Consider the following 27,617-nt stretch of genomic DNA (forward strand, 5'->3'; position numbering starts at 1 on the left):
AATGGTCAGTTAAAGTTCAAGTTAAGACTACAGCTGCACCTATATTCTTTTACAAATGACACCACATTTCTGCCAGGTACCATATTTCAAAATATATGACTCATTAAAAGAAATATTCCATGATCAAATAAATTTGGAATATCCTGCTTTGTAAATGTCCTCTTGGATATTTGTAGTACAAGACATACCTGGGGCACAGAACTGCTACATAAAATAATTTATTTGACATTGCTTAAACTTATTTGACAATAGGGCTAGGCATGGTGGCTCATGCCTGTAATCCCAGCTCTCTTTAGGAGGCTGAGGCAGGAGGATCCCTGGAGCCCAGGAATTCAGGAGTTCAAGACTGCAGTGAGCTATGATTGTCACTGCACTCCAGCTTGGGTAACAGAGTGAGACTTTGTCTCTTAAAATTGTTTTTTCTTTTTTAAATTAAAAACTTATTTGACAACAGGAATCTTTTCTATTTTTTTCTTAATAGTCTAGTTTCTGAGGAACCAGTGTTGCACAGAACAGAATTTGGCAAATAGTACTTCAAAAAATCCTAGGCCAATATTGTCAACAAAAACTTCTGTCCATTACTTACTGAGATAAAGTGAGGAAAGTCTAGTGAAACCTCTGAAGTAATCCACTCTCTTTCTGAATTAATATCAGCCCAGTTTCCCAGTGGGAAGCAGTGAGGGAGGGGGTGCAGCAGCAGACGGGTGTTCCAATGGAGCCTTCCAGCAGGTGCAGCACAAGCTTGAGACCAGGCCTCCCACAGAGGGTGCCCCTGCCACGATTGCAGTGTGCGGAGGAAAGTCTAATGTTGCAAGATCCTGCTGCTTTCAAGGGAAACAGATAGACCAGTTTTTGGTGAACTCTCATAATTTCTACATGTTGGCAATTATATTTAATTTCTTAAACAGAGAAAGGAAGACATCTTACATGCAGACACCCTCCTCCCCTCATCAGAAAATAAACTGAACAAAGACATTTTTAAAAACACAGGCACACTTTTGGATTGAGTCTAACCCATGGCTTACCAGGTTGCATTCTCCTATCTGGTTCACAGTTGGAAATCCAGAGGGGTAAGTAGAGAAAAAGAAAAAATTAAAGCTGTGTTCTTAAATTCTGCCTGCTTTTAACCACTGGATGCAGCCTGCTTATTGAAATAAACAACATAGTCCTTGTCATTATTTTATTACATCCTTGAATTCATAATTTATCTCCAGTGAAAGGGGGGATTATGTGGTAGGTGTTCACAGGCACTTTGATTCTCATGTGAAATGTTTTTATGCTGCTAACATCAAATAATCAATGTTGTAGGCCTTGCTCGCCCTGGGAATGTTGAAGATTAATTTTGGGGGGACTACAGCTAAAAAACAGAATTTAGTGATGAACTTGGCAATCATGTTATTATTTTAAATGGCTGAATTCCAATACATTATTGTCAAGAATAAAAAGGGTTTTATTTTAGAAAACTTTACAATTCAAGGGAACTCTCAATATTGGTTTGAGTCACCTGGGAATTTTGTAAAGCCCTGGCAGAAAATGTACATCAAAGGCAATTACCTCTCAGTGGTCCATACGGGGCCATCTTTGACAATATTTTCACCATGAATTGCTTGTTTCCACTTTGCCATTCAGCTTTGTACTCTGCCCCCAGGGAGCCCAATTAATACCCACACAGTCACACACACACACACACAAACACACATAATACATATACACATATGTATGAGTATCAATGTATTATATATTATACATATATTCCATAAAATAATTTTATTTGATATTGACAAGGGTTATATATTAATCATAGGACCCATTTTAATTTCAACATGAGAACCTGAATTATTTGTCACTCTTTATTAGCATATTTTACAATAGACTCTGACTCCCTGTGGAATGTATTTATCTTTTACCTTTGTTTCTTCCAGAGAACCTCAATAAAGACGATATCCTTTAAAAAGTATATTTTATTAATATAGCTTGGTTTAGGTTATAGACAGATTTTGCTACGTTTTCTTTGTGATCTCATTTTGGAAAGATTTATACCTGACAAGTTAACTATAATTTTATTTTTTATAAATTGCATTATTTTTGACATTCTAGTAGTTAATTTTAAAGAAATGCTTTCCTTTTAACAAGGATGAATCCATTCTGAATATATCTGTACTAAGAGTCTGGATTTCATAAAATGAATTTATTGAGGTGGGACACAAATATATTTGATAAATACTTGAACTGTATTGTGGTAATATTTGCCCTTGATTTAATGATTCTTCAATTCATTCTCTGTTTTCTCTGCAATTTAAGAAAAAGAGATTTTTGAAAGAGCAGAAATTATCAGCATCCCCTATCTACTTTTCAGGGGAATAAAGAGTTTTGTTTTGTTTTTGTTTTTGTTTTTTTCAATCTAGAAGACATCAAAGAAGCAGTCAGGCAAGGGGAAGAGAGTGGCTGGCACAGTTAAGAAAGGATGGGAAGAGGCAGATTTTTGGCAGAACTGAATGTGTTAATCTGCAGTGAAATTAGCGATTTAAAAAAGTATTTCTCAGCTGCACATCTGAAAAAAAAATTTATGGGTCTAATTTTCCTTTGGAAATTTAAAATCTTACAAACTCGTAAGATATAATTATCCAAGTTTTTCCACCCCACACTCACCATGCCCACAGAAAAGAGTGGGAATTATGTATGGATGTAAATGGGATGACTACTGCAAAGAATTTAGAAACATTTCAATAAACATACTTGCAAATATTTTCGGTATTTTAAAAAAGTAGGACACATATGTTAAACTCAAGGGAAGAGGGCCTAAAAGGGAATCTCCAAGTGCACAGTTTGCTTCTATATTTGTGTGAACCATTTGGTTAAGTATTTTACAAAATATCTACACTTTATTTTCCAGTCCTTCTGGAATTTTCAAAATACTGTATATCCTACAATAGACTTTTCAACATATGTGTAAGCTGTAGTGTGAAAATAATTGTGGAAATAATTCTAGATCTATATAATTCCACAACCTACTTGCCTTGAATTGGCTGCATGTGTTTTTCATGTAAGTATGCATAGAAAATGTTGAAGTGTTTCACACAAAACTCGTTTAGATCTAAAAGCATCTCTGTGATTGGTGAGGCTTTGCCAACCCTAAGGAAATTAGCAAAGATAACATTTAATAACATCAACCAAGAGAGCTCTTCCTTCATCAGATTTCTTTAAAATGTTTAAAAGTTTGGGTGAAATATAGAGATGTTTAGATCAAACACTCATACCTTAAGATATTTGATTGTAGAGAATGCTCTGCACACTTAGGTTTTCAAAAAAATTATTATTTAATGACATTTCTAGAAAAATAGAAATATTGCTAGGAAATGGTACTTTCTATTCCATCCCTCATTAGGAAAAATCTTTCTCCATTTCTGGGGTCCACCTATACTTCTGTTCTCAAAAGTTACTGAGAGTAGTTTTAAAATAGCCAAGGCTCTTTTTTTAACCTTCTTTTCCCTAAATCTCCTCCTCCTCCAGCTTTTCTTTTCCCATTTAAGATGTTATAAAAATTATCAAAGAAAAAACTAGCACTCAGCAGAACTATACACATGTGGGTGCTAAATAAATACTTTTGATGATGATGAATGTTGGCAATTCTCCATGGAAGAAAGACCTTACACAAAAGATGTTATAATTATAATGTTTAAATGATTATGCTATAATTATTATGTTAAAAATCTCCCATGCTCTCCGAACTGCTCGGTGGTGGCAGGGCTGTGACATTCCCATTCAACCTCATCTTATTGCTAAGGCACTTGCCACCTTTGCATGCCATGAAAAAACAGTGGCTTGGCCAAGTCAGGGCAGACCTGGGCAATGGAGGGAGCTCCTGGAGGGCCCTGCTCTCTCCCTTCCTCTTCCCACACTCTGCAAGTCTCCTGGCCACCAAAGGATCCCATTTTCCTAATTCTGCTCCAGGGTTTTATCTTTATTCTAACCACCCGCATTAAAAGATCTCATCAAGTTCCTTCATATCAAGTTTAAATGAGACTCCAAATATTACCTATCTCTCCTGGGTTAGGTAACTTTGCACAGAAAACAAAAAGAATAGAAGTTAAATAAATGAATATCTAATGATGGGACTTTTACCATTAGATGAGGTTCCCTGGAAGAAACCCTTGGAATTCTTTATCAGTTACCTAGGAATTTCCTGAGATTCAGAGATGCTAACATCTACACATTAGCATCATGATTTTAGAGGTATTCTTTTTTTATTTTGCTTTCTTAGGCCCCTACACTGTTTCCTAGATTGAGAATGACAGGCAGACTGGATGACTTTCATACACTCTTGAATGCACATTGATAACCTTTTACCATCCTCAGAGCCTTCTTCAAAATTCTAGCAAAGTCTGAGCTCAGCCAAGTTTTCAGTTTTAACTGAGTCAGCAAATATGAGTGAATTATCCTCTTTCTGTAGATATATGGTACAATTTACAAGGTGTGTCCGAATGAAAATGCTTTGAGGTTCTCTAGGATACATCAAAATGTCATTTATTCCTTAGAATTAAAAATCACTGAAAATAACCTTAGATTTTATTGATGTTGATAACATTTTGAAGAGTAGACAAGAAGAGCTTCAGAATGACACATGTCCACTGCCTGTATTTCTGACTTTAACCAGGATAACACAGAGGTGGGCAGATAGACCCTGATTCACACATAACTCAGACCTCCCCTCATAGCCTGCAAAGAATCCATCACACATCCTGGCACATGGCTGGGGCCTACCTAATGACAAATGCTATTACCAATGATCTCTTTTAATAGTCACAATCAAATTTATGAAATTGTTTCTTGAAGATAGGAGAGAAGTAGGATCAGGGAGGAGGGTGGCACAACAATACCTGTTGAGAGGACTTTGAGTGAGTGTGTTCCAACAGAAGGGAATGGCACAAGAGCAAAAAGACAAGTTCACAAACCAAAGTTGGAGGATTTGGGATTAATTGAAATCCTCAAGTGGTGCCTGGTAAGTGACTGCCTATTTAGAGCCAACAGATAGGTTTCCGTGAGGTTAAGGAAGCGAAAAATCCCATACGAAGCTAGTGAGATGTTAAATTCTAATTAGAAGTGTTAATTAAAAAAAAAATTCCAATTTCATCAGTGACAGTGCTTTTGTTGTTCCAATTCTCTTTGCTACAGTGAATCCTAAGTATCCTGACTCACTTTGTTCCAATATTATTTACCACTTCTGTAAGGGAGAGAGAAGTTGAGTCTGCGCACAGGAGCCTAGAGCCTCAGTTGCCTTCCCAGAGCCGCCATGATAAGAGACCTATCGGCGTTTCCATGGAAAATGCCTATTTTCAGGGCCTTATACTCAAGCATCAGAATTCACTGTGGCTCAAAGTTTAGCAAAATGAGTGTGGGACTCTCAGGAAGAAAAAGGATTTATGTAATTCTTCTTCAGAGCATCTCTTCGCCACTCTTTTCTACTTTTGATACCTTCAAAAAATAGCCAGTGAATTTCCATGACTTAGATGAGGTTATTTTGTGCTGTGTATGAAGTTAAATATGAAGTGATAATATCATTTAACTGACATTTTGCAGACCATTAATCCAAAAGGAGGATTAAACCCTTTGAATGAGCAAGCAAATATTAGCTGCCTGAAATTATATTTAAAATTAAACATGAAATTAAATCTAATATTTAACAGATTTCAAAAGAATATGTATATGTACATTAATATTTTTATTTCAGTAATAGTAATCAACGTGCTCCAAATTATTTAATGTAATATTAAATGTTTTCTGTTATGCTTTCCACTGATGCTTGGATAGTTCCAAATTTTACAATAAACATTATGAAAAATTGTTATCTATAGTATTTAAAAGGTGTCTTAAATACAAACCTTGAGCACAAGAGGGCCTATTTAATAAAATGTACAATATCATTTTATTTCAAATACTTATTTAAGCCACAATAGTTATTTAAAACCATCGTAGTTAATATAACATATTTTCAGAAAATATATTAATATGTATACCTGTATTTAACCACGATTTTGCCAGAACACATGATGTCATCTCATAGATTTTTAGAGTGTCTTCTTTGATGCTAATATAAAAAATAGAGGATGTAGTTAAAGAAAGTCAAAGTATGTTAAAATCCCTAAAAGCCACCATTTCTAAGGTTAGACTCTTTTAAATCATTTTGCTATTACTGTACAATTTGTTTAAAAATTGATGAAATTGTATTTGTAAATTATTGTGGAAAACATATGAAATAGTCCAAGGAAAAATAAAAACTAGGTACCATTTGTTTTAGCTCTTCAGTCTATCCTAAAAGCATGCTCCACTTTTTGCAGGATTCTTGGTGGAATATAAGTCCCTCTCGCTCTTCTCTGCTGTCTCTTGGCCACTCAGAGCCTCCAGTTACACCAACTCCCAACACCACCTGCCCCGCCCCAACCTAGGGACAAGGGTAGGCACTTCCATTTCAAGATTCTACGTCAAAATAAAACTGCCCTAGATTCCATTTTTTCTGGGTTCTTTTTTCTGTAGCAGAGAGAAAAAGTCCTAATTTAGGTTCTTTTTGATTTGAAGTAGAATTTTCAGGGGTCAGGATAGGTCAGTGAGTCCCTAGACATATATGGTTTCAGAACATCTCAACCTCCATCATACTTGGTAGATACCATATGATAGAGGATAAGACAAATCAGTCATCAGTTTATACTTAACGTTTCTTCCTCATTAGTCATTACTTTAAAAATACATCGTAGAAACCTAAAGGCCTTACAATTGTTAATATGCCCCTTTATTCAGGGTTAAAAGCATTAACATTTTAATGGCTGAAGCCAGAATGCCTGTGGGGGCAGAGGGAACTCCTTCTTTCAATAAGAATCCATGGGTGCAGTAGGCTCTCTCCCAGTATGGGTGTTGGCAGGTGCTGGGCAGGAGGGGAAAGGGATAGCCTGGTGTACATGCTATAGAAAGATACATTTGTTGGTTTTGTTCTCAAAAGGGAAAAGGAAAGAAAAATCAAGAGGACAGAGAAAAAAGCCAGGAAGAATAAATGGCAAGAGGCTAGAATTTATTGTAGGAACAGTGAAACCTCCCTAGGGAGAAGTAATAAAAATTATAATGATGGTGCTAATTGTGTCATTCAAAATTACCTGTACACCTGGATGTCACTCTTTCCCATGCAGGACCAATAGAGCCTACTAGACTCCTGGAATTTTTATCTGCATGAAGATACAGTAGTACTTAAAAGGGCTAGATTCTGCGTTTAAACGGGAATAAGACACCAGGGAAGAAGGAATCAAATACTCAGGAAATAAGGAAAGCTATGTTGATGCAAGCTTCTTATACATTTGCAGAAATCTAGAAGATTTCTGCACAGACCGTGGTGTTGGAAAGTAGAATTGAAGCCAATGTTACTTTACTCTTAATAAAAAAATGTGGCTGGGTGTGGTGGCTGATGCCTGTAATCCCAGCATTTTGGAAGGCCAAGGCGGGCAGATCACCTGAGGTCAAGTGCTTGAGACCACCATGGTCAACATGATGAAAACCTGGCTGTACAAAAAAAAAAAAAAAGAAAGAAAAAAAAATTAGCCAGACACGGTGGTGCACACCTGTAATACCAGCTAGCTACTCGGGAGGCTGAGGCAAGAGAATTGCTTGAACTCAGGCAGCGGAGGTTGCAGTGAGTTGAGATCATGCCACTGCACTCCAGGCTGGGCGACAGAGCGAGAATCTGTCTCAAAATAAATGAATAAATATTTTTAAATTTCAGGTTATGTTTCTTATTGGACAAAATGATCATCATATATAAATTTGGTGAAGACAGTTTTACAAATATTACATATTGATTTTATATCACATATATGATATTTTACACACACACACATACACCCCCCCCACACACACACATATGTAGAGAGAGGAAAAAAAGGGAGAGAGAGAGAGAGAGAGAGAGAGAGGAAGAAGGGACAGTAAAATACCTAAGGTTGGTACCCCAGGCTAGATTTGAATTTGGCAGACTTAATGTTGTAAACGTTGGCTTATGAATTGATATCCTCTTAGAAGGATTTCCCATCATATACATTGGTCAACTCACACCTGGACTAATACTTCAATGTAGAGAATATTAACAAGTCAAGAACACTCTGAAGAGAGCAACTAACTGGTAAACAACTAGCTAATAATATTTACTGAGCATTTTAATTGGCCACCTATAAATTCATTTTATTCTCACAGGAGACCTCTTAGGGCGGTACTATTAATATCACCACGTTCGAATTAGGAAACTAAAGAACAGAGAAGTTAAGCGACTTGTGCAACGTCACACAGCTAGTAAGTGATAAAGCTGAGATTGAAACCAAATTATGGTCAAATCCCAACTTCTTAATCAATATACAATACTGCCTCCCTAATAAGATCAGTAAAGATCTATAAAAGTGTGTTTTATGAGGAATTATTGAGGGAACTAAAACTGTTTAACTTGGAAAACAAAATACTTTAGGGGGAAAAGAAGAGTAAAAAAAGATATTTTCCAAGACACACTGAAAATCAGACCTGAGAGAGGTCCAGGGTCAGCTCCTCTCTATTGATGTGATGCCTCTAATTGTGTAACGTCTTTGAACTTGAACATCTCTGGAAAAATCTTAACAGCAAAATTCCTTATCCCTAAAACAAAGGAAAAGAGAGAAATGTAAGTTTTAATAGGTACCATCCTCAAGAATTTTGGGAGAGGACTGAATTCTAACAGGCAAATGTAACTAAGTATAGAGTATCAATGATAATCAGAAAATTGGCATTTTGTTTATATGTTTTGTTCTCCTATATATTCAAAATATGTGTGGTGGTCCCAGGAGTCCAAGCACTTCTCGTTGCCTTGCAGGATTTCTGGGCATCCAGGACTGAGCATGATGGTCCTTGGTGTGTTGGCCAAGGTGATGGTGGCCTTGGGGCCTCTAGTTACACACTGACCTTGCTGTATGTACATCTGCATCAGAAGTTTTACCTGTCAACCCAGCCAGCCCAATACCACCAGGTAAAACCTCCTGGCAAGCCCGTCCTTATTCCTTCCAGTTTCCTCATTCCAAGTCCCTATCTTCTCAGAAGGAGAGGATGACATAGCCCATACTACCATCTTTTCAGACCCTCTTTCTTCATCTCTTATGAAAACATGCTTTTATGAAAGAGTCTTAGGTCCAATACAGATATGTACAAATTAGTGTGAATGTAAGAAAATTCACTGCTTTTCCTATTGACAGTTTAACTTTGTAAAATATTTTAAGTAGCTATGGAATTCTACTGTTATCTTTGTAAAATAATCCAAGAATAAGTAAATATTTTAAGTGGAAGAAATATTTTAAGCAGGCATTTCTAAATTAAAGTGACCATGTGTGTGTTTGCACATGCAAACAAAAACAATGCTTTAGTTTACCAGCCATACTTTCGAACATATGCATATCTTCATTCCATTTTCACTTTAATACAAGGCTTACCCATTAAAGCAGATGTTTAGAAAAGCTAATATCTATTGCAAAATTTTCTAGTGATTACAACCAGGGATTCACATCCGCAGTAACCTAATCATGAGGAACACTAGGCTCAGGCTTTGAAACCCAATTGTTGAAGGAACACAAGAAGACACATTAAACCACCATAAATTTCACCATCACCAGCTAATCATGGTGGATTGAACACATTCATTTACCACTTCTCATTCCATAAAATGGCTGCAATGGCATTAAAGGCAGTAAAGACAAAAGATTTAAGCCAGCAATGTCTTAGACATGTCAACAATAGGAACACATATAGAGATGACGGAAATTGAGAAAGTTGAAAACTAAAAGCCTGCAGAAGTGTTTCTAATGAGAAGAAGCCAATTCATGCTGCAGAAACCCAGAACTTGGGTATCAGGAATCTTAGAAACTTTTCTGAGGATTGGCTGAAAATCCGATTATAAAGTAGCTTAGATATGAGATCTCCTTCTTCAGCCAGGGTGCTGAGCAACAACCTGTGAGAGGGAAGTTAATTCCTTGGGGAAATTCAATTGAAGAACATCTGGACTTGGGTATTATTGAGAACAGGAGGGGGTCAGTGTAGACACAGGACTGGAATAAAGGGGATGATGTGAGTCTATGCCTGATCAGTCAGATCACTAGTCTTTCCCCACTCAGCTCCTGACACACTGGTTTCAGTCGCCCTCTTCTCCTATGCAAGGGTTAGAGGAATCTCCTGCACAAAGTCTGTATGTCTCCAGAGAAAAGTCCTGCAGATATCGAGGTTGTGTGTTCTTCCAAAAAATACCCATCCAATCACCATAAGTGAAACACAAATAGACCACTCCATCATGTAAACAGTGTATCCAATCATTTTAATGCCTTATTTTCAAACCTGAATAACTGACCAAGCGTCTTAAAACCACTAAAGGCCGGGCGTGGTGGCTCAGGCCTGTAATCCCAGCACTTTGGGAGGCCGAGGCGGGCGGATAACGAGGTCAGGAGATCAAGACCATCCTGGCTAACATGGTGAAATCCCGTCTCTACTAAAAATACGAAAAATTAGCTGGGCATGATGGTGGGCGCCTGTAGTCCCAGCTACTCAGGAGGCTGAGGCAGGAGAATGGTGTGAACCCGCGAGGCAGAGCTTATAGATCGTGCCACTGCACTCCAGCCTGGGGAGAGAGCGAGACTCCGTCTCAAAAAAAAAAAAAAAAAAAAAAAAAAAAAAAATAGGAAACCACTAAAGTGAAAGGCCAAAAATAAGGTAAGTAAAATTTAGAAAGAAAGATAACTGTAAATCAGTAAAAAAAAATATAGAATGGCTGATTACAATATTGAAACTGCAATATTCTCAGAGTAATAAGAGAAGATATTACATCTATGAAATATGAACAGGAGGTGAAAGACAGGAATTTGGAATGAGCTCATGGGAATAAATATGATGAATTTTTAAAAGCAAGAGAATAGTTTGAAGAGCAATTTAATTAAATATTCCAGAAGGCAGAACAAAAGAAAAACTAAAGATGGATAATAGGAGCTAACACATTAAGAAATGAGAAAAAATCTGATGGATTTTCAGAGAGACCAGAGATACCAAAGGGAAAAGATTTGCAAGGAATTAAATAAATAATATTTTACAGTACACATGCTTCTGGATTTAAAGTGCCCATTGAATACCCAGTAAAATGCAAGAAAAATATTTTTACTAAGGCATACTTATGGTAAAAATTAAGAACCTATGAAATAAGCAAAAATCCTAAAAGCTTTCAAAGCAAAAATAAATGTTGTATATAAAAGAGAAGAAACCATAATGAATGAATTCAATAGCAACACAATAAGCAATAAAATCAACCAAAGTATCTCAAAAATTTTGAGGGAAAATGAATTTCACCTAAAATTTTATCACCAGCCAAAGTGTTAATTGTGAGAGCAAAATAAAGCCCTTTTCAAATTACACAGTTGCAAAAATATACATACAACTGGAGATTCCTTCTTGACACACAACTGGAATATGTCCTCCATCAAAGTAAACTGAAAAAATAGAAGAATCTGAGATTTATTTCACAGAACAGGGAGGAGAAAGGATTTTTCAGAATATAAGCAAAGGTAAGTTCCAATATTTGGCAGCAGACCAAGAAAAAGACTGGATAAATTCGGAGCAGAAGGATGGAAATCTGTAAATAAAAGTTTTGCAGGCAATAACAAAAATTCAAAAAGGGTGAATGGGAAAACTAGGAATTATTACATGTTGCATTGAATATAAATGAGAAGAGTTTTACAGAGTTGCAGAATTTGTGCAAATTCATGTCCATGCGGTAAAAATATATAAGCAAATGGAAAATCTAGGCATTGTTAATTATAGGAAAAGCAAACATTTGCAGGAAAAAGAAGAAATGTAATAACTGTATATTACTCAGCTCAGTGATGAAAATACTTACATATTCATAATAAAGTCAAAACTCAACACTGTTTTAAACTGGAATTTTACTGTAGCTGCTTTGGAGGATAAGAGGAGGTAAAGTAGTGTTATGTAAAGTCTTCATTACCATTTTACATAAGATAAAGACCTATCCCCTCCCCACATCAGAAGAAACAAGTAATTGACCAGATCACACCACCATGTGTTTAATTCATTCATGCAAACATTATACAAGATACACATGCTTCCAATTCCAACATTTTTTTTTTTTTAGAGAAAGACATTTCAGTTCTGACTTTTTATCTACAGGTTATGTTGAAATAAGTACACTAATAACAATAATATGCACTAAGGAAAATATGGGAAATAAATTTTTAAACACATACATGCAACATTTTTCAGTTTTATCCACAAGCACTCTGCCTGAGGTTAATTTATCTAGCCAGCCATCAGAATACTAGATCAATACTATAGTAAAACTTCAAGGAGCAATTTATTAGCAATAGGATGCTGGGTGCACCTAGCAACCTGCAGTTGTGACCATCTTTCTCAGGTGTTTTTGATACTTAGAGCCACCTTTGTGTATCTTGGACTTATGCCAAGGTAATTCCATGAGGTGGTTTTAAAACCTTTCCTAGTGAAGCCTGCTGGGCTGTCTACAGAGAATGATTCATAGGTCATTTGCACTCTTTATGTGTAGATGGAACAACTTTCTTTTAAAGGCATTTCCTCATATTTATCCTTTTGGAAGTTCATATGCCAATTTTCTGCCCACTGACACAGGTTTTTGAAATATTTCTGCGGCTGGCATTTCACTGTCTGGCATTTCAGTATCTGTGAACTCACTCCCCAGATCATTTATAACACTTTAAAATGAGCCCGGTACCCACACCACGCTTTGGAGAAACTCACTAATTAATAACAGTATAGAAATCCCATCCCACCTTACTCCCCATTCCTCTCGCTGTGTCTCTAACCCAGGTCCTTGTGCAAGTCACATGAGACTGCTCAAGCCTATGTAGATGCTCTGATCAATTTTTCATAAGTTTATGAACTTACATCATTTTTACGTTTTGGGTTATCCTTTCTTTTTGTCTATACTGCAGCAGGTCATTTTATTATTACTTATTACTGTGCCTCTTGTTTGTATGTGACAGAAACTCAACTCAAACCAGCTTAAATAGAAAGAGAAGCCGTTGCAGGGATTTAGAAGTATTTCATAGAAACCAGAAGCAGGATTGAAGCCTGGACTCAAGAAAGACTGGAAACAGGCATTTTATATACCATCATTTCCATTTTCTCCTCTCTGTGAACCATTTTTGTTTTTCTTTCGAAAGAACCATTTTGGCTTCTCTGGTTCATACAGCAGAGCTGCTTTTCATTTCTTTTTCATGTTGATGAAACATATAAAAGAACAAAATAACACCACTTTTTGTTTTGATTGGATTTTTGTTACTAGTGAAGGTGAACTTATTTTCTTATTCTTCTTTATTTTTCTATTAGTAGTTATTTGTAAATTCCCCTTACTTAGGCTATTTCTTCTGCTGAAATATTCATAATTTTAATTTCTTTAGAAGAATTTTTTAGGTTTTTAGGATATTAAACCCTTTTCTGTAATACAGATTCCCAGTTTGCTGTTTGTCTCCAGCTTTCTGTGTAGTATTTGCCATTAAATAACTTTTTATTATTCTTTTTTATTTTAGTATGTACATTTTAGGTTTATCATCTTTTGCCTTTACACAAAACATGTGGCAAACTATGCTTTTTTATAATTACAACTTTTAAATTAGAAGAAGGGGTACATCACCTTACAAATCTTAGATGAGGGTTTATTACGTGAGTGTATTATGTTATGTTGAGTTTTAGGTACAAATGATCCCGTCAACCATTTAGTGGTCATAGTATCCAAAGTTTTTTCAACCCATGTCTCCTTCCCTCCTCCCTCCCCTATCAGGAAGTCCTCAGTGTCTGTCGCTCATCTTTATGTCTATGCGTATTCAATGTCCAGCTCCCATTTATAAGTAAGAACACGTGGTATTTGGTTTTCTGTTCTGATGATCATTCACTTAGGATAATGTTCTCCAGCTCCATTCATGTCATTGCAAAGGACATGATGTCATTCTTCTTTATGGCTGTGTAGTATTCCATGGTGTATATGTATCACATTTTCTTTATCCAATCCGCTGTTCATGGGCACCTATATTGATTCTGTGCCTTTGCTATTGGACATACTGCTGCAACAAACATGAGTGCATGCGTCTTTTTGACAGAATAAATTATTTAACTCCAGGTATATACTCTGTAGTGAAATTATTGGGTCAAATGGTAGTTTTAAGTTCTTTAAGAAATCTCCAGACTACTTTCCACAGTGTCTGAAGTATTTTGCATTCACACCAAGACTGTGTAAGCGTTCCCTTTTCTCTGCAGCCTCACCAACATCTGTTTTTGTTGTTGCTGTTGTTGTTTTGTTTTGTTTTGTTTTACTTTTTAATAATAGCTATTCTGAATGGTGGGAGACCATATTTTATTGTGGTTTGACTTTTATTTCTCTAATGATTAGTGATGTTGAGCACTCTTTTCATGTTTTTTGACCACTTGCACATCTTCTTTTGAAAAGTGTCTGTTATGTCCTTTTCCCATTTTTAAATGGATTATTTGTTTTGTGCTTGTTGATTTGTTTAGGTACCTTGTAGATTCTGGATATTAGGTCTTTGTCAAATGCATATTTTGTGAATATTCTCTCCCTTTGTGTAGGCTGTCTGTTTACCCTGTTGGTAACTTCCTTTCCTGTGCAGAAGCTCTTTAGTTCAATTAGGTCCCACTTATCAATTTTTTGTTTTTGTTGTAATTGTTTTTGGGGACTTAACCATAACCTTTTGCCAGAGCCAATGTCGAGAAGGGTATTTCCTACAATTTTTTCTAGGATTTTTATAGTTTGAGCTCTTACATTTAAATTTTTAATCCATCTTGAGTTAATTTTTATGTGTAGTAAGAGGTAATTGTCTAGTTTCATTCTCTGCATATGGCTGGCCAGTTACCCCAGCACCATTTACTGAATAGGGAGTCCTTTCCCCATCACTTATTTTTATCAATTTTGTCAAGGATCAGATGATTGTAAGTGGATAGATTTATTTCTTGGTTCTCTATTCGGTTCCATTGATCTGTATGTATGTTTCTATACCAGTACCATGCTGTTTTGGTTGCCATAGCCTTACAGTATAGTTTGAAGTTGAGTACTGTGATGTCAGCTTTGTTCTTTTTGCTTAGGGTTGCTTTGGCTATTTGGCCTCTTTTTTGATTCCATATAAATTTTAGAATCAATTTTCCTAATTCTGTGAAAAATAACATTGATATCTTGATAGGGATAGCATTGAATCTGTAAACTGCTTTGGGCAATATGGCTGATTTAACAATATTGGTTCTTCCAATCTATGGCCATAAAGTATTTCCATTTATTTGTGTCATCTACATTTCCTGAGTTATTCTTGTGGAGATCTTTCACCTCTCTTGGTTGGATGAATTCCTATGTATTTCTTTGTGTGTATCTGTGTGTGTGTGTGTGTGTGTGTGTCTACTGTAAATGGGATTGTGTTCTTGATTTGGTTCTCAGCTAGAAAGTTATTGGTGTTTGAAACGTTACTGATTTTTGTACATTGATCTCATATCCTGAAACTTTACTGAAGTTACTTATCAGTTCCAGGAGCCTTTTCACTGTCTTTAGGGTTTTCTATGTATAGAATGACATTGCCACCAAAGAGAGATATTTTGACTTCTTTTTCTATTTGACACCTTTTACTTCTTTCTCTTGATTGATTGCTCTGGCTAGGACTTCTACTGCTATTCTGAATAGGAGTGTGAAAGTAGGCATTCTTATCTTCTTCCAGTTCTCAAGGGGAATGGCTTCAACTTTTGCCCATTCAGTATGATGTTGGCTGTGGGTCTGTCATAGATACCTCTTACTATTTTGAGGTATGTTCCTTTAATGCCCAGCCTGTTGAGGGATTTTATCATGAAGAACATTGGATTTTATAAATGGTGTTCTTTTTCCATTGAGATGATCATACGGTGTTCGTTTTTTATCCTATTCATGTGGTGAATAACATTTATTGATTTGTCTATCTTGAACCAACCTTGCATCCCAAGAAAAAAAGCCTATTTGATCATGGTGAATTCACTTTTTGATATGCTGCTGAATTCAGTTTCCAAGTATTTTGTTGAGGATCCTTGGGTCTATGTTCATCAGGCATATTGGCTAGAACTTTTCTTTTTTCATTGTGTCTGCCAGATTTTGGTATCAGGATGATGCTGGCTTTGTAGAATGAGTTATGGAGGATCCCCTCCCCCTCATTTTTAAGGCATAATTTCAAAAGAATTGGTACCAGCTCTTCTTGTACATAAGATGTAATTCAGCTGTGAATCCACGTAGGCTATTTTTTACTGGTAGGTTTTTTATTGTTGATTCAATTTTGGAACACGTTATTGGTTTGTTCAGGTTTTCACCTTCTTCCTGGTTCAATCTTGGAAGGTTGTGTATTTCTAGGAATTTATCCTTTTCCTCCAGATTTTCTAATTTGTGTCTGTAGAGCTATTTACAATACTCTCCGAGGATCTTTTGCATTTCTATCGGATAACTTGTAATCTTTGCCATCTCTGATTGCACTTATTTGGCTTATTTGGATCTTTTTTTTCCCTTGTTAATCTAGCTAGTGATTTATCAATCTTGTTTATTCTTTTGAAGACAACTCTTGGTTTAATCATCTTTGGTATAGACTTTTGGGTCTCCATTTTGTTCAGTTCTTCTCTGATTTTAGTTATTTACTTTCTTCTGCTATCGTTGGGGTTGAATTGTTCTTTTCTCTTAGTTCCTCTAAGTGTCATGTTAGATCATTCATTTAAGATCTTCCTAGCCTCTTGTTGAAGACATTTAGCACTCACTATAAACTTCCCTCTTAACACATTTAGCTGCATCTCAGAGATCTGGGTAAGTTGTGTCTCTATTTTTATTAATTTCACAGATTTTTTTTTTTAATTTCTGCCTTAATTTTATTGTTTACCCAACAGCTAATCAGGAGGAAGTTGTTTAATTTCTTAATTTCCATATTTTCATGTAGTTTCGAGACATCTTGGTATTGATTTCTATTTTTATTGCACTGTGGTCCTACAGTGTGATTGATATGACTTTGATTTTTTTTTAATTTTATCGAGACTTGTTTTATGACCAAGAATGTGGTTGATCTTAGACTATGTTCTGTGTGCAGATCAGAATAATGTATATTCTGTGTTTATTGGGTATTCAGTAGATGTCTATCAGGTCCAATTCATCAAGTATTGAGTTTAATTCCAGAATTTCTTGGTTAGTTTTCTGCCTTGATGATCTTTCTAACACAGTCAGTTAAGTGTTAAAATCTCCCACTATTATTGTGTGGCTGTCTAAGTTTCTTGTAAAGAAAAACTTCTTTTATGAATCTGGGTGCTACAGTGTTCGGCGCGTATATATTTAGGATGGTTAAGTCTTATTGTTGAATTGAACCCTTTATCATTATGTCATGCCCTTCTTTGTCTTCCCTGATTTTTGTTGGTTAAAGCCTATTTTATCTGATATAAGAATAGTAACTCCTTCTCTTTTTTGTTTTCCATTTGCATGGTAGATCTTTCTCTATCCCTTTACTTTTAGCCTGTGGCTGTCATTATATGTGAGGTATATCTTTGGAAGACAGCAGTATATCTCTGGAAGACAGCAGACAATTGGGTCTTGTCTTTCTATCTAGCTTGCCAGTCTGTACCTTTTAAGTGCGGTGTTTAGGCCATTTACATTCAGGGTTAGTATCGATATGCAAAATTTTGGTTCTGTCATTATGTTGCTAGCTGTTTATTTTGTAGACTTGATTGTGTAGTTCCTTTATATTGTCTGTGGGCTATGTGCTTGAGTGTGTTTGTGTGGTAGCAGGTTTCAATCCTTTGTTTCCAAGTTTAACACTCCCATAAGGACATCTTCTAATTCTGGTCTGGTGGTAATGAATTCCCTTAGTGCTTGCTTGCCTGAGAAAAATTTTATTTCTCATTTGCTTATGAAGCTTAGTTTGGCAGGATATGAGATTCTTGGTTGGAATTTCTTTTCTTTAAGAATGCTGAAAATAGGCCCCCAATCTCCTCTGGCTTGTAAGATTTCTGCTGAGAGGTCTACTGCTAGCCTGTTGGGGTTCCCTTTTTAGGTGGTCTAACCTTTCTTTCCACCTGCCATTAAGATTTTTTTTCTTTTGTGTTGACTTTGGTAAATCTGATAGCTATGTGCCTTGGGGATGGTCATCTTGTATAGTATCTCTCAGGAGTTTTCTGTATTTATTTAATTTGTATGACCACCTTGCTACCAAGATTGGGGTAATACTCAAGGACTATATCCTCAAATATTATTTCCAAGTTGCTTACTCTCTCTCCTCTTTCAGGAATGCCAATGAGTCATAGATTTGGTCATTTTATATAATCACATATTTCTTAGAGGTTTTGCTTATTTTTTAAATTCCCCAAGAAAGGGGAACTAGAATTTGAAATTGTAAATTCTTTATTTTTGTCTGACTTAGTTGACTCAAAGAACTGGTCTTTAAACTCTGACATTCTGTTCTCATCATTTTCTATTCTATTGCTAATGCTTATGATTATATTATGAAATTCCTCGATTCCAGAAGTTCAGTTTGGTTCTTTCTTAAAATGGTTATTTTGTCTTTCAGCTCCTGGATCATTTTACTGGATTCCTTAGATTGAGTTTCAACTTCCTACTGGAACTTGATGAGCCTCTTTGCTATCAAGACTCTTAATTCTGTGTCTGTCATTTCAGTCATTTCAACCTGGTTAAGAACCATTGCTTTATTGGTTTGAAGGTAAGTGGACACTACAACTTTTTGAATTGATAGAGTTCTTACATTGATTCTTTCTCATGTATGAAGGCTGGTGTTCCTTTAAATGTGATGTGAGTTGAGTATAGAGAGTTGGCTTTCCTTCTTGGCACTTTCAGAAGGCCAAGGCCCTTTATCTGTGGCTAGATTGTTGCTTACTTTTCATAAGCACTGTACACTAGCAAAATATTTTGGTGGTATAATTTGGGCTGTGATCCAGTAGGTGGTACCAAAGAGTGGTGCCCACAGGCTGTTAGTTTCATGGGTTTTTTTTTTTTTTTTTGTATTTTTTGGCATATTGGCAGCAGTGCTCTGTGGTTGGGGGAGAGAGATGACTCCTTCACCTGGTCTACTCCTGGGCCTTGGAGGAGGCCCCTGCAATCACTGGCACTGCACTTGTATTTTCTTTGTTACATGTTCTGGACCACAGGGCTCCCTCAGGCCGAGGCCAGGTTGGCAGACAGGTCATGCCCTTCCAGACTACCTCTGTGGAGGGAGGCACTTCCTGCTCTCCCTCTGGCCTACGAGCCCAGGTGTCACACCCCTCTCAGTGTTCTGACAGTGGGGAATTCCCTGCTTGAGTGCCTCCTAAGCAGGTGAGTCTTACCCACCTAGGAGGAGTGGGAGTGGGTGGAATCGCCTGTTCCACCACCTGGGTGCTTCCTGAAGGAATATGGAGCTACACCTGCCCACAGAATTCAGACAGAAGCAAGTCCCTGGAGCTCTGCCCAGCTGGTGTGTCCCACTCAGATAGAAACAGCAGAGGTTGGTGGGGTCACCTCATCCACCCTCTGAGTGCTTCCTGGAGGAACGTGGAGCTGCACCCACCTGCAGAGTTCAGGCTGAGGTAGGTTTACTGTGCTGGAAACCCCAGCTTACATGTTCCACCCTGCAATGAGCAGCAGGGTTGAGTGGACTTGCCTGATCTGCTGTCCACATACTTCCCCAGGGGTGCATGGAGCTGCATCCACCCACAGTGTGCAGGCAGAAGTGGATCCAGTTGTGTTGGAAGAGCCAGCCAGCATGTGAACCTAGGTAGAAGCAGTGTGGGTGGGCGGAGTCACCCTGTCAGCCACCCAGGTGTTTCCTAGGGGAACACAGAGAGCTGTGTCCCCCCACAGAATTTAGGGAGAGGCAGGGCCAGTGTGCTGGAAGCTGGGGGAGGGCAGTGAAACAATCTTATTGCTCCCAGGCATAGGGACTGCAGCCTCCATCATGGATATGGCCACTGTTGCTAGGCTGCTCTGAGATCCAAGGCCTGTGGGGGTCCCTGTGAGCTTCACTGTTGCTTCTGGAAGAACTCCAAGTGGTTTTCTCTATTAGTCTAGAGACTTAGGGGGATGAGGGGACTCTCCCATTCCCAGGCTTGCACTAGTCCCCGTGGGAAGTGTGGATCCCCAGGGGCTCTCACTCGCTCACTCTTTCTCCATGTTGGGGAGCTTCTGCTGGCTCCATGTAGCTCCCTGATGGGCAGCTGTTCAGCTGTGCTCTTTTCTGTTCTCCATGGCCCTTCCCTTCCATAATGAATCTTGTTGTAGTTTCTTAGATCAGCTTGCAGAGTCAGTGTTCACTTGCCACTTTGTCTCCTTGCTGTGGGAGCAGTGCAATCAAGCTGCTTCTAGTCCACCATCTTTACCCCTGCTAAAAATTTTTAATGTTTCCATTTTTTTCCAGCTGACAATTTTTTCTTCATGTCTAGAAAGTCATTCAATGACTACAGATATTCTTCTACATTGTAACCTAGTAATTCTATGATTTTTAATAATACTTTCTTAGATGTGTCTGGATTTCACCTTATAAGACATAAGAAAGATAGATAAACCTCTTTATGTTCAGATATTTTGCTACTTGTTTCAATAAATTTGTTGAAAGCCCCTACTTTTGAGAAGGGAGTTAAATTTTCTCTTAACTAGTTACATTGATTACCTCTTAAATAATTCTGGAGAGAATGAGAGCCGGCAGCCTGTTTGGTTATTCATTTTATTGTAGAATGTTGACCCCTCCAGAATGGGCTCTTGGTTTGAGAAATATGTGTTTGAAAATATTTAAGATGATATATATCTGGAATTTTTAAAATATTAGAATAAAATCATTCATCAGATTCAAACTTCACAGAGTCCATCAACCTTGATATGTGTGTGATTCTCTCTTTGCCTCATTAAGTGGAAGTATTATGATATCTGTTTTGTCAGCCATGGTGCTAGGCATAAGTTCTCATGTAACAAAGGCATGGCATCAGAAGATATGGAATTCTCATCCTACTTTCACCTTGGAAATTATTTAGTCTCTCCTGATCTCAGTTTGCTTGGGAAAGTTATAAAGTTACCTTAAGGGTCATTCTAGGTCCAACACCCATTATTCATCTGGGAGTCTGTAGGTGTGAAAGAAAGTCCAGTTAATTATTTTTTAGGTATCGCTCAACTAAAATTTTGCAGCCCTGATCTTTTGACATATTTCAAACACTTGTCCCATGCCAAGTGTCTTGTTAGTACTTAGCCTCTGAGAATTTCATTTTGTTTACCTAGAAAATAAGGGAAGAAGAGCTGATTTTATCATACACCCTGTGTCAAATATGTATATATGAACATCTCTCTGACATGCATGTATATACATATACACATACATGCCTGATATTTACTATTATTCTCTTTTCTTAATTATTCTTTGTTTTTGTATTAACTAAACATTTAGTTTTTAAGGGCTGAAATTATTACCACTTCCTCGGAATTACATTCAATTTCTAAAGGAAATGTGGGACTCATAAAACTCCTAAATATGGCAAGTAGTGAGGCTTCAGTTCACGAATAGCTATCATGGGGATTCCACATTATGTACATGAAAACTGTGTTATTCTCCATTTTTATATTTATCAGGATTTTTGTCAACAAAAATGTTTGTAATTCTTATAACTATCCAAGACAATAACTGCTCTCCTATCTAATTGTACAATCTGCTATCATCACTTTAACTGTACCCTATGTTTGTACTATTCTGGAGGGTATGATATTGTCATAAGGGGAAAAAGCATATTTCACTGCATGTATTTAATTTTAATTGTTTAATGCTAGAAAAGCCAACACATCATTTCCTTTTCTATCTCCCTGGAATTACGTGTGCATCCACATTTATGAATTCATACATCTTCTCTACCTTCTGTGAAAAATGGGAAGAGTAAAAGCTGCCAATATTATAATAATCAGCCTCTTTTAAACAAAGTGTTATACACATAGCTAGATATGTTTGGGCTTTGTTTGAAAAAATTTAGATTATTATCTGACTCACTTGATTTAGATTTAACCTTGTTTTAGACTCTTGCTTATATAAAATTGAAAATAATGTGAAATCTGGAAACAATGAAAGTTCATCTTGTAAGTGATAAAGGACATCACTGATGTTTCAATTGCTTCTCCCCCACTGTTAGAGAAATAGGGTTGGGTACCTACTATTCTATCTCTGATTGGTGTGAGTAACGAAAGCTTAGAATTATTTAGCATACAGAACCTTAATGGTGCAGTTCAGGATTTATTATGTAAAATGTTATCTTAAAATACTATACTTTAAAAGAGTTTGCTTTAATAGGTGAAAGGGAAAAAAAGCTAAGCTTTAAAAGTATTTTGTTTGAAAATACACAGTCCTGTCTCAGACATAAGTGGATTTTTAAAAATTTCTTTTAAAACGTGCAACTTTAAATATTATCCAGTAAAATTTCCTTTCCAGCTGAGATTTTCAGGAAAGCAGAATGAGGAAACATAATATGGCTTAATCCTTTTTCTTTTCTAAGGCAACTGTCTTAGTCTGTTCAGGCTGTTGTAACAAAATACCACAGACTGGGCAGCTTATAAACAACAGACACTTATTTCTCACAGAGTCAGAGGCTGGAAATCCAAATTAAGGCACTGGAAGATTCAGTGTCTGGAGAGGGCTTGTATCCTGGGTTGTAGAGGGCATTTTCTCTTCTCACTGAATCCTCACAGCGGAAGGAGACAAGGCAACTCTAGGGGTGTCTTCTATAATGATACTAATACCATTCGTTCTTTTATGATCTACTTACATCATCACTTGGTGAGTAGGCTTCGATCTATGAACTTTGGAGATACACAAACCTTCAGACCAGAGCATCAGCATTAACCACATCTGCCTAATTTTCAAGAGGCTCCATTTATTGTTAACATTATATTATCCCCTTTCTCCTCTCTTAGCAGTCCTCGAGGATCCAAGTGGCATTGTTTGTTTGTTTGTTTGTTTGTTTAATTTTACTTTGAGTTCTGGGATACATGTGCAGAATGTGCAGGTTTGTCACATAGGTGTACAAGTGCCATGGTGGTTTGCTGCATGCACCCATCAACCCAAAGCTTCCATAAACTACATGTGGCTGCTTTTGAAATGTGTTGCGTTTTTCTACCTTTGATTTTGATGAAAACGCCAGCCATTGCTCTAATGTGCTCCATAATTATAATTTGTTTAATTATGATAAGCTTACAAAGTAGGACTTACGGTTATCCCAGTTTCACATGACAAAACTGAGATTCAGGAAGTGAGGTGACTTGTCTAAGGTTAAAACAGCTAATAAATGGTGAAGCCCCATTTGAGCCCAGGTCATCTGGCTTCAGCCCCTGAGTGAGTTCTTGGTTATCTGTAGCGTAGGTTTTCTCACTAGGTGCAATTACTATCTCTCCACTCATTTGTACTATCAATTTTCTCTTTTCTTCCAAAAAGAATCTACAGGCAAATATATTTCTTACAGATGATTAAATCGCTCTTCCTTTTCTGTGATTCTTTTTAATGTCATGTATAATTATAAATAATGGTTTTTATTTGATAAGCAGACCTGAGTTTTTGGCTTGGGCAATTTGCTGAGTGATGGATCTGTTGATTCTCCTCACGGCTAAACTACACTAGGTCTTTCCCAGAGCTCCATTTCTCCTTGGCATCCCATGCCCAACCAGCCTGTTGTTCTACTAAGTCACTTTGCTTCTGAATTCTATTCTTGCTCAGTTAATGTCCCTGTGATTAACTTTCAGTCAAATGTTTTCTTGAGGCCTTTTATTTCTTCTAGTCACTGGAGGAAAACATGACATTTTAAGGTAACTTTCACCAGACTAAGCCTCAGGGAACAATGTAGATTCTGAAGCTGAGAACTAAGGCTTTGATTTGTTCTCTGAAAACAGAAAGTATGCTGAAGTCTACTTTTGCCAGGAGTGAGTGCTCAATATGGGTTTAGTACATTTTCGAATTCAAATATTAACCCTTCCAAAGGAAGTCATATTTACTTATGTATAAAATGAATGCAATGTGCAGTTGTAGAGCATATAAGAAGAGGAAAAGAGGCCGGGCACGGTGGCTCACTCCTGTAATCCCAGCACTTTGGGATGCCGAGGCAGGCGGATCACAAGGTCAGGAGATGGAGACCATCCTGGTTAACGTGGTGAAAGCCCGTCTCTACTAAAAATACAAAAAATTAGCCAGGCATGGTGGCGGGCGCCTGTAGTCGCAGCTACTCGGGAGGCTGAGGCAGGAGAATGGCGTGAACCCGGGAGGAGGAGCTTGCAGTGAGCCGAGATCGCGCCACTGCACTCCAGCCTGGGGGCCTGGGGGACAGAGTGAGACTCCGTCTCAAAAACAAAAACAAAAAAAAAGAAAAAAAGGAGGAAAAGAATCCAGAGAGCTATATTTTAAAATAAATGTAAAGCAAACTGATATGCTAATCTGGATTCTGCAGAACCAGAAGTATAAGAGAGGTAGATACTAAGACCCAAAAAGAATAAAATGATAGTACAGTAGAATGTGGAATTACAGTGTCAAGGATAGGCCTACACTTAGACAAAGCCAGACCTAGATTATGGCCAAAATTTGGCTCATAAGCCTGAGCTATTGTTTAGACTGTATTAAAAGTCTCAAATTAAACATAGAATATCAGAGAAATGGCAGTGAATCTTTGCACTAAGCTTGTAAGTTACACAATACTTCAAAGCTATCCTTTAAAAACATCCTTGTCACAGTAGACAAAGTTATAAGGACTCATGACATTACACAAGTTCCAGAAAACAAGAATTGATGGCAGAAAATGCTCTTTCGTGGCCAGCAGCTATGAATTCCAAAAAGATACCAACTAGCAGCTCTTTTACCTAAAAGGGCCAAGGCTGGGGAGAAAATATGGCGCCAAGGTGTCTGTAGGATGATAATTTACAGTTGTAAGATGACAACCTGGCAGTACTTTTGGCATCACAGGGAAAATAAGCACCCAGGGGCTGATGATTTGGTATCATCTTTGTGGGCACCAACAGTCTGGCTATCAGAATCCCACCATCTCAGAGACAGGAAGTTACATGACGGGCTCCAGTAACATCACCCACCCTGATGACACAGTTACAAAGGAGAGTAGAGTCTATTAGGGAACGGAGTGTGTCTCAAGCCTGGGGTCTGCCACTTCTGGCTCTGTGACCTTAAGCAGGCCACATGATTTATTTTCTGTAAAATTGGAATGTAAGAGGACACTTTAGAAGATTTGTATAAGCAATAGGTAAAGTGTGCATGCTATTATGCTTAGAATAGTGTCAGGAGTATAAGTATAAAAGCAAATATGTTTTATTTTCATTATAAAGAATAAGCTTAGGGAAGGTTCTAGGCATAAGCTGAGTTGGAACATAGGGACTAAGAGCAGCTGATAAGCTTAAGAATTCAGGATTCCTTGGTCCAATGCAAGAGGAAAGGAGTGAAAAAGATATTAGAGGGTAAAAGATAGGGGATCCACAAATTGGCAGAAGCCAGAGCCCTCTGTGAGTATTATAACCAATAAGAAATTTACAGTGGGTACTTTTTTCTGTAGTAATAGGAATGCTATATAAGACTTTCTGGTTGTTAAGGTCATTTAATATAATTCTTCTGGTGTTCTCCCAAATAGTTATCTGGATAACAAAGCCAGATATCCACACAAAGGCCTTCCTGGTGTGTGTGTGTGTGTGTATGTGTATGTGTGTATAAATTAAAGAAAGACAGGGATTCCATGTTAGAATTGATAGATAAAATGGAAATGTTGCACACCCGAGACTGAAAAGAGAGAAAAAAATAATGTATCCCAGTAAGTAGTTTAGAGACATTAGAGAGTTTGAGATTCTAAAACACCAGGGAATATGCAGAAAATTTGGCAAAGGTATTACATGTCAACATTATTTAGATCTGAAACACAGCAAGGTGAATCTAGCTAATATCTGTGCTAAAATTAATTCAACAAATATTTATTAAGAGCATCCTCTATGCTTGACATTTTGTTTATCTTGGTAATAAAAATATCTGTAAACGAATTTTGTTATCAATACTTTTTCATGCATGACAGAGGCAGGCAAGTAAACATTAAGAATAAAATACAATATGAAAAGATGAAAGAGGATTTAATCTGCCTAATGCAGTCAATTAGACCTCCTAGACCAGATGATAAAATGGTTGACCTTTTACCTGAAACATAGACAACTCTCTCAGATGAGTAAGAGAACAAAAGGGATTGAAGCACAAAGGCAATTGAAAAGGTGCCATTCTAGAAATGGCAAAGGATAGAAAGATGGTAGGAAGGTGGGAAGAAATGAGATTCCACACTCTTGGCAAGCGTGAGGATTGTTTTTCATGCATGATGAAGCCTGAGAATCGTAGTCTTAGCACAATTCTATGTGCAACTCCATTGCTGTCACTCACTGGCTTGTCTGGAAAATGGGTGCAACAGGAGTTGCAGAGCTGAGACATGAAGAATAAGTGCCATGATCAGATTTGCCTATCTGAAAGATCACTGTGAGGTTAGAATAACACAAGTGGTAAGGAAGCCGGTGACAGGAGTAGGTGACAGAAATTGTCCATTATGAGAGCTTCAATGAGAAGAACATTTATGTGTTTGTTTAAACTTTCAACACATTTTATTTATGATTGGTCCATATAAGATGTTGTTAGAATGGAAAAAAAAAAGGCTTATTTTACATGATTTGAAGAAAATTCTAAAGCCATCCACTTATTTATTAATTATATATTAATTTATTTATGGTTTTCTTAATGCTTATTACAAAGCTCATAAAATGTAATTTGGGAGATATTTTTTAAGGCTTCTATTATCCAGGGAATAATTTCCAGTTACTGTTATTAAAAATAATATGTTTATGTGTAATAGCAGCCAACATTTAGTGAATTCTAACAAATTACGTCGAGGAATAAGCTAAACTCTTTGGCAATTAATGTTAGTTATTTTATGTTATTCTCATGTAATGATAAACCATAGTATTTTTTCAAGTAATATATGACTTCTAGTTTAATGTGCTACAATCATTATATCATAAATAGAAACTCAAGAATTAACACTTAAAAAGTCAGCATTTAAGGAATGAATGGATGCTTCTGAAAATTTTGCATTCTTGGAAGAAAAATACCCTCCAAGAAAACCTAACATTTTTCCAAAAAAAAAACCATTGTTTTTAAAACTAGGATTGTAGAAAGCATAAGAGTACAAAAATCAATAGTGGTAAACCAGCAATGGAAAAGAGTGCTGCTTGGAGGACACACGCTGAGGGGGGCACTATTCGAATGGCTGGATGTCTGAATGCCTGCAATCAGGCAGCAAAGCTAAGACTCTGCACAGTTATAGGTCACAGAGAAAATGCCCTTCTCCTTATGAAGTTGAAGCCAAAAGAGAGACATCTTCAGTGGGCAAATTATAGGGGATAGGAAACAGGTCACACATACATGAAAACATCACATATGAGAGAAGTAGAATTCACTGTGTGGAAAAAGAATCAACTTTTCAATCAATTGAGGTAAGATAATTAGGGGGCGCTCTCTCTCTTTATATAT

General features: G+C 37.0%; 1 long non-coding RNA gene across 3 annotated transcripts; it reads right to left on the reverse strand.

The window, feature by feature from the left end:
* Positions 1-591: 591 nt before the first annotated feature.
* Positions 592-8,649, reverse strand: LOC105373520 (uncharacterized). 3 transcript variants are annotated; one of them, XR_001739200.1, is made up of 4 exons: positions 8,545-8,649; positions 6,015-6,085; positions 1,026-1,043; positions 592-821 (listed from the first exon to the last, which is right to left on the reverse strand). It is a non-coding gene; the product is annotated as an uncharacterized LOC105373520 (long non-coding RNA). The 3 variants fall into 3 exon arrangements; XR_923123.1 differs by having other exon boundaries at positions 592-824; XR_923124.2 differs by lacking the exon at positions 8,545-8,649 and adding an exon at positions 6,284-6,406 and having other exon boundaries at positions 592-824.
* Positions 8,650-27,617: the final 18,968 nt, after the last annotated feature.

This window comes from Homo sapiens, chromosome 2 (genome assembly GCF_000001405.40).
Source record: "Homo sapiens chromosome 2, GRCh38.p14 Primary Assembly".
In the NCBI taxonomy this organism is placed as follows: Eukaryota; Metazoa; Chordata; class Mammalia; order Primates; family Hominidae; genus Homo; species Homo sapiens.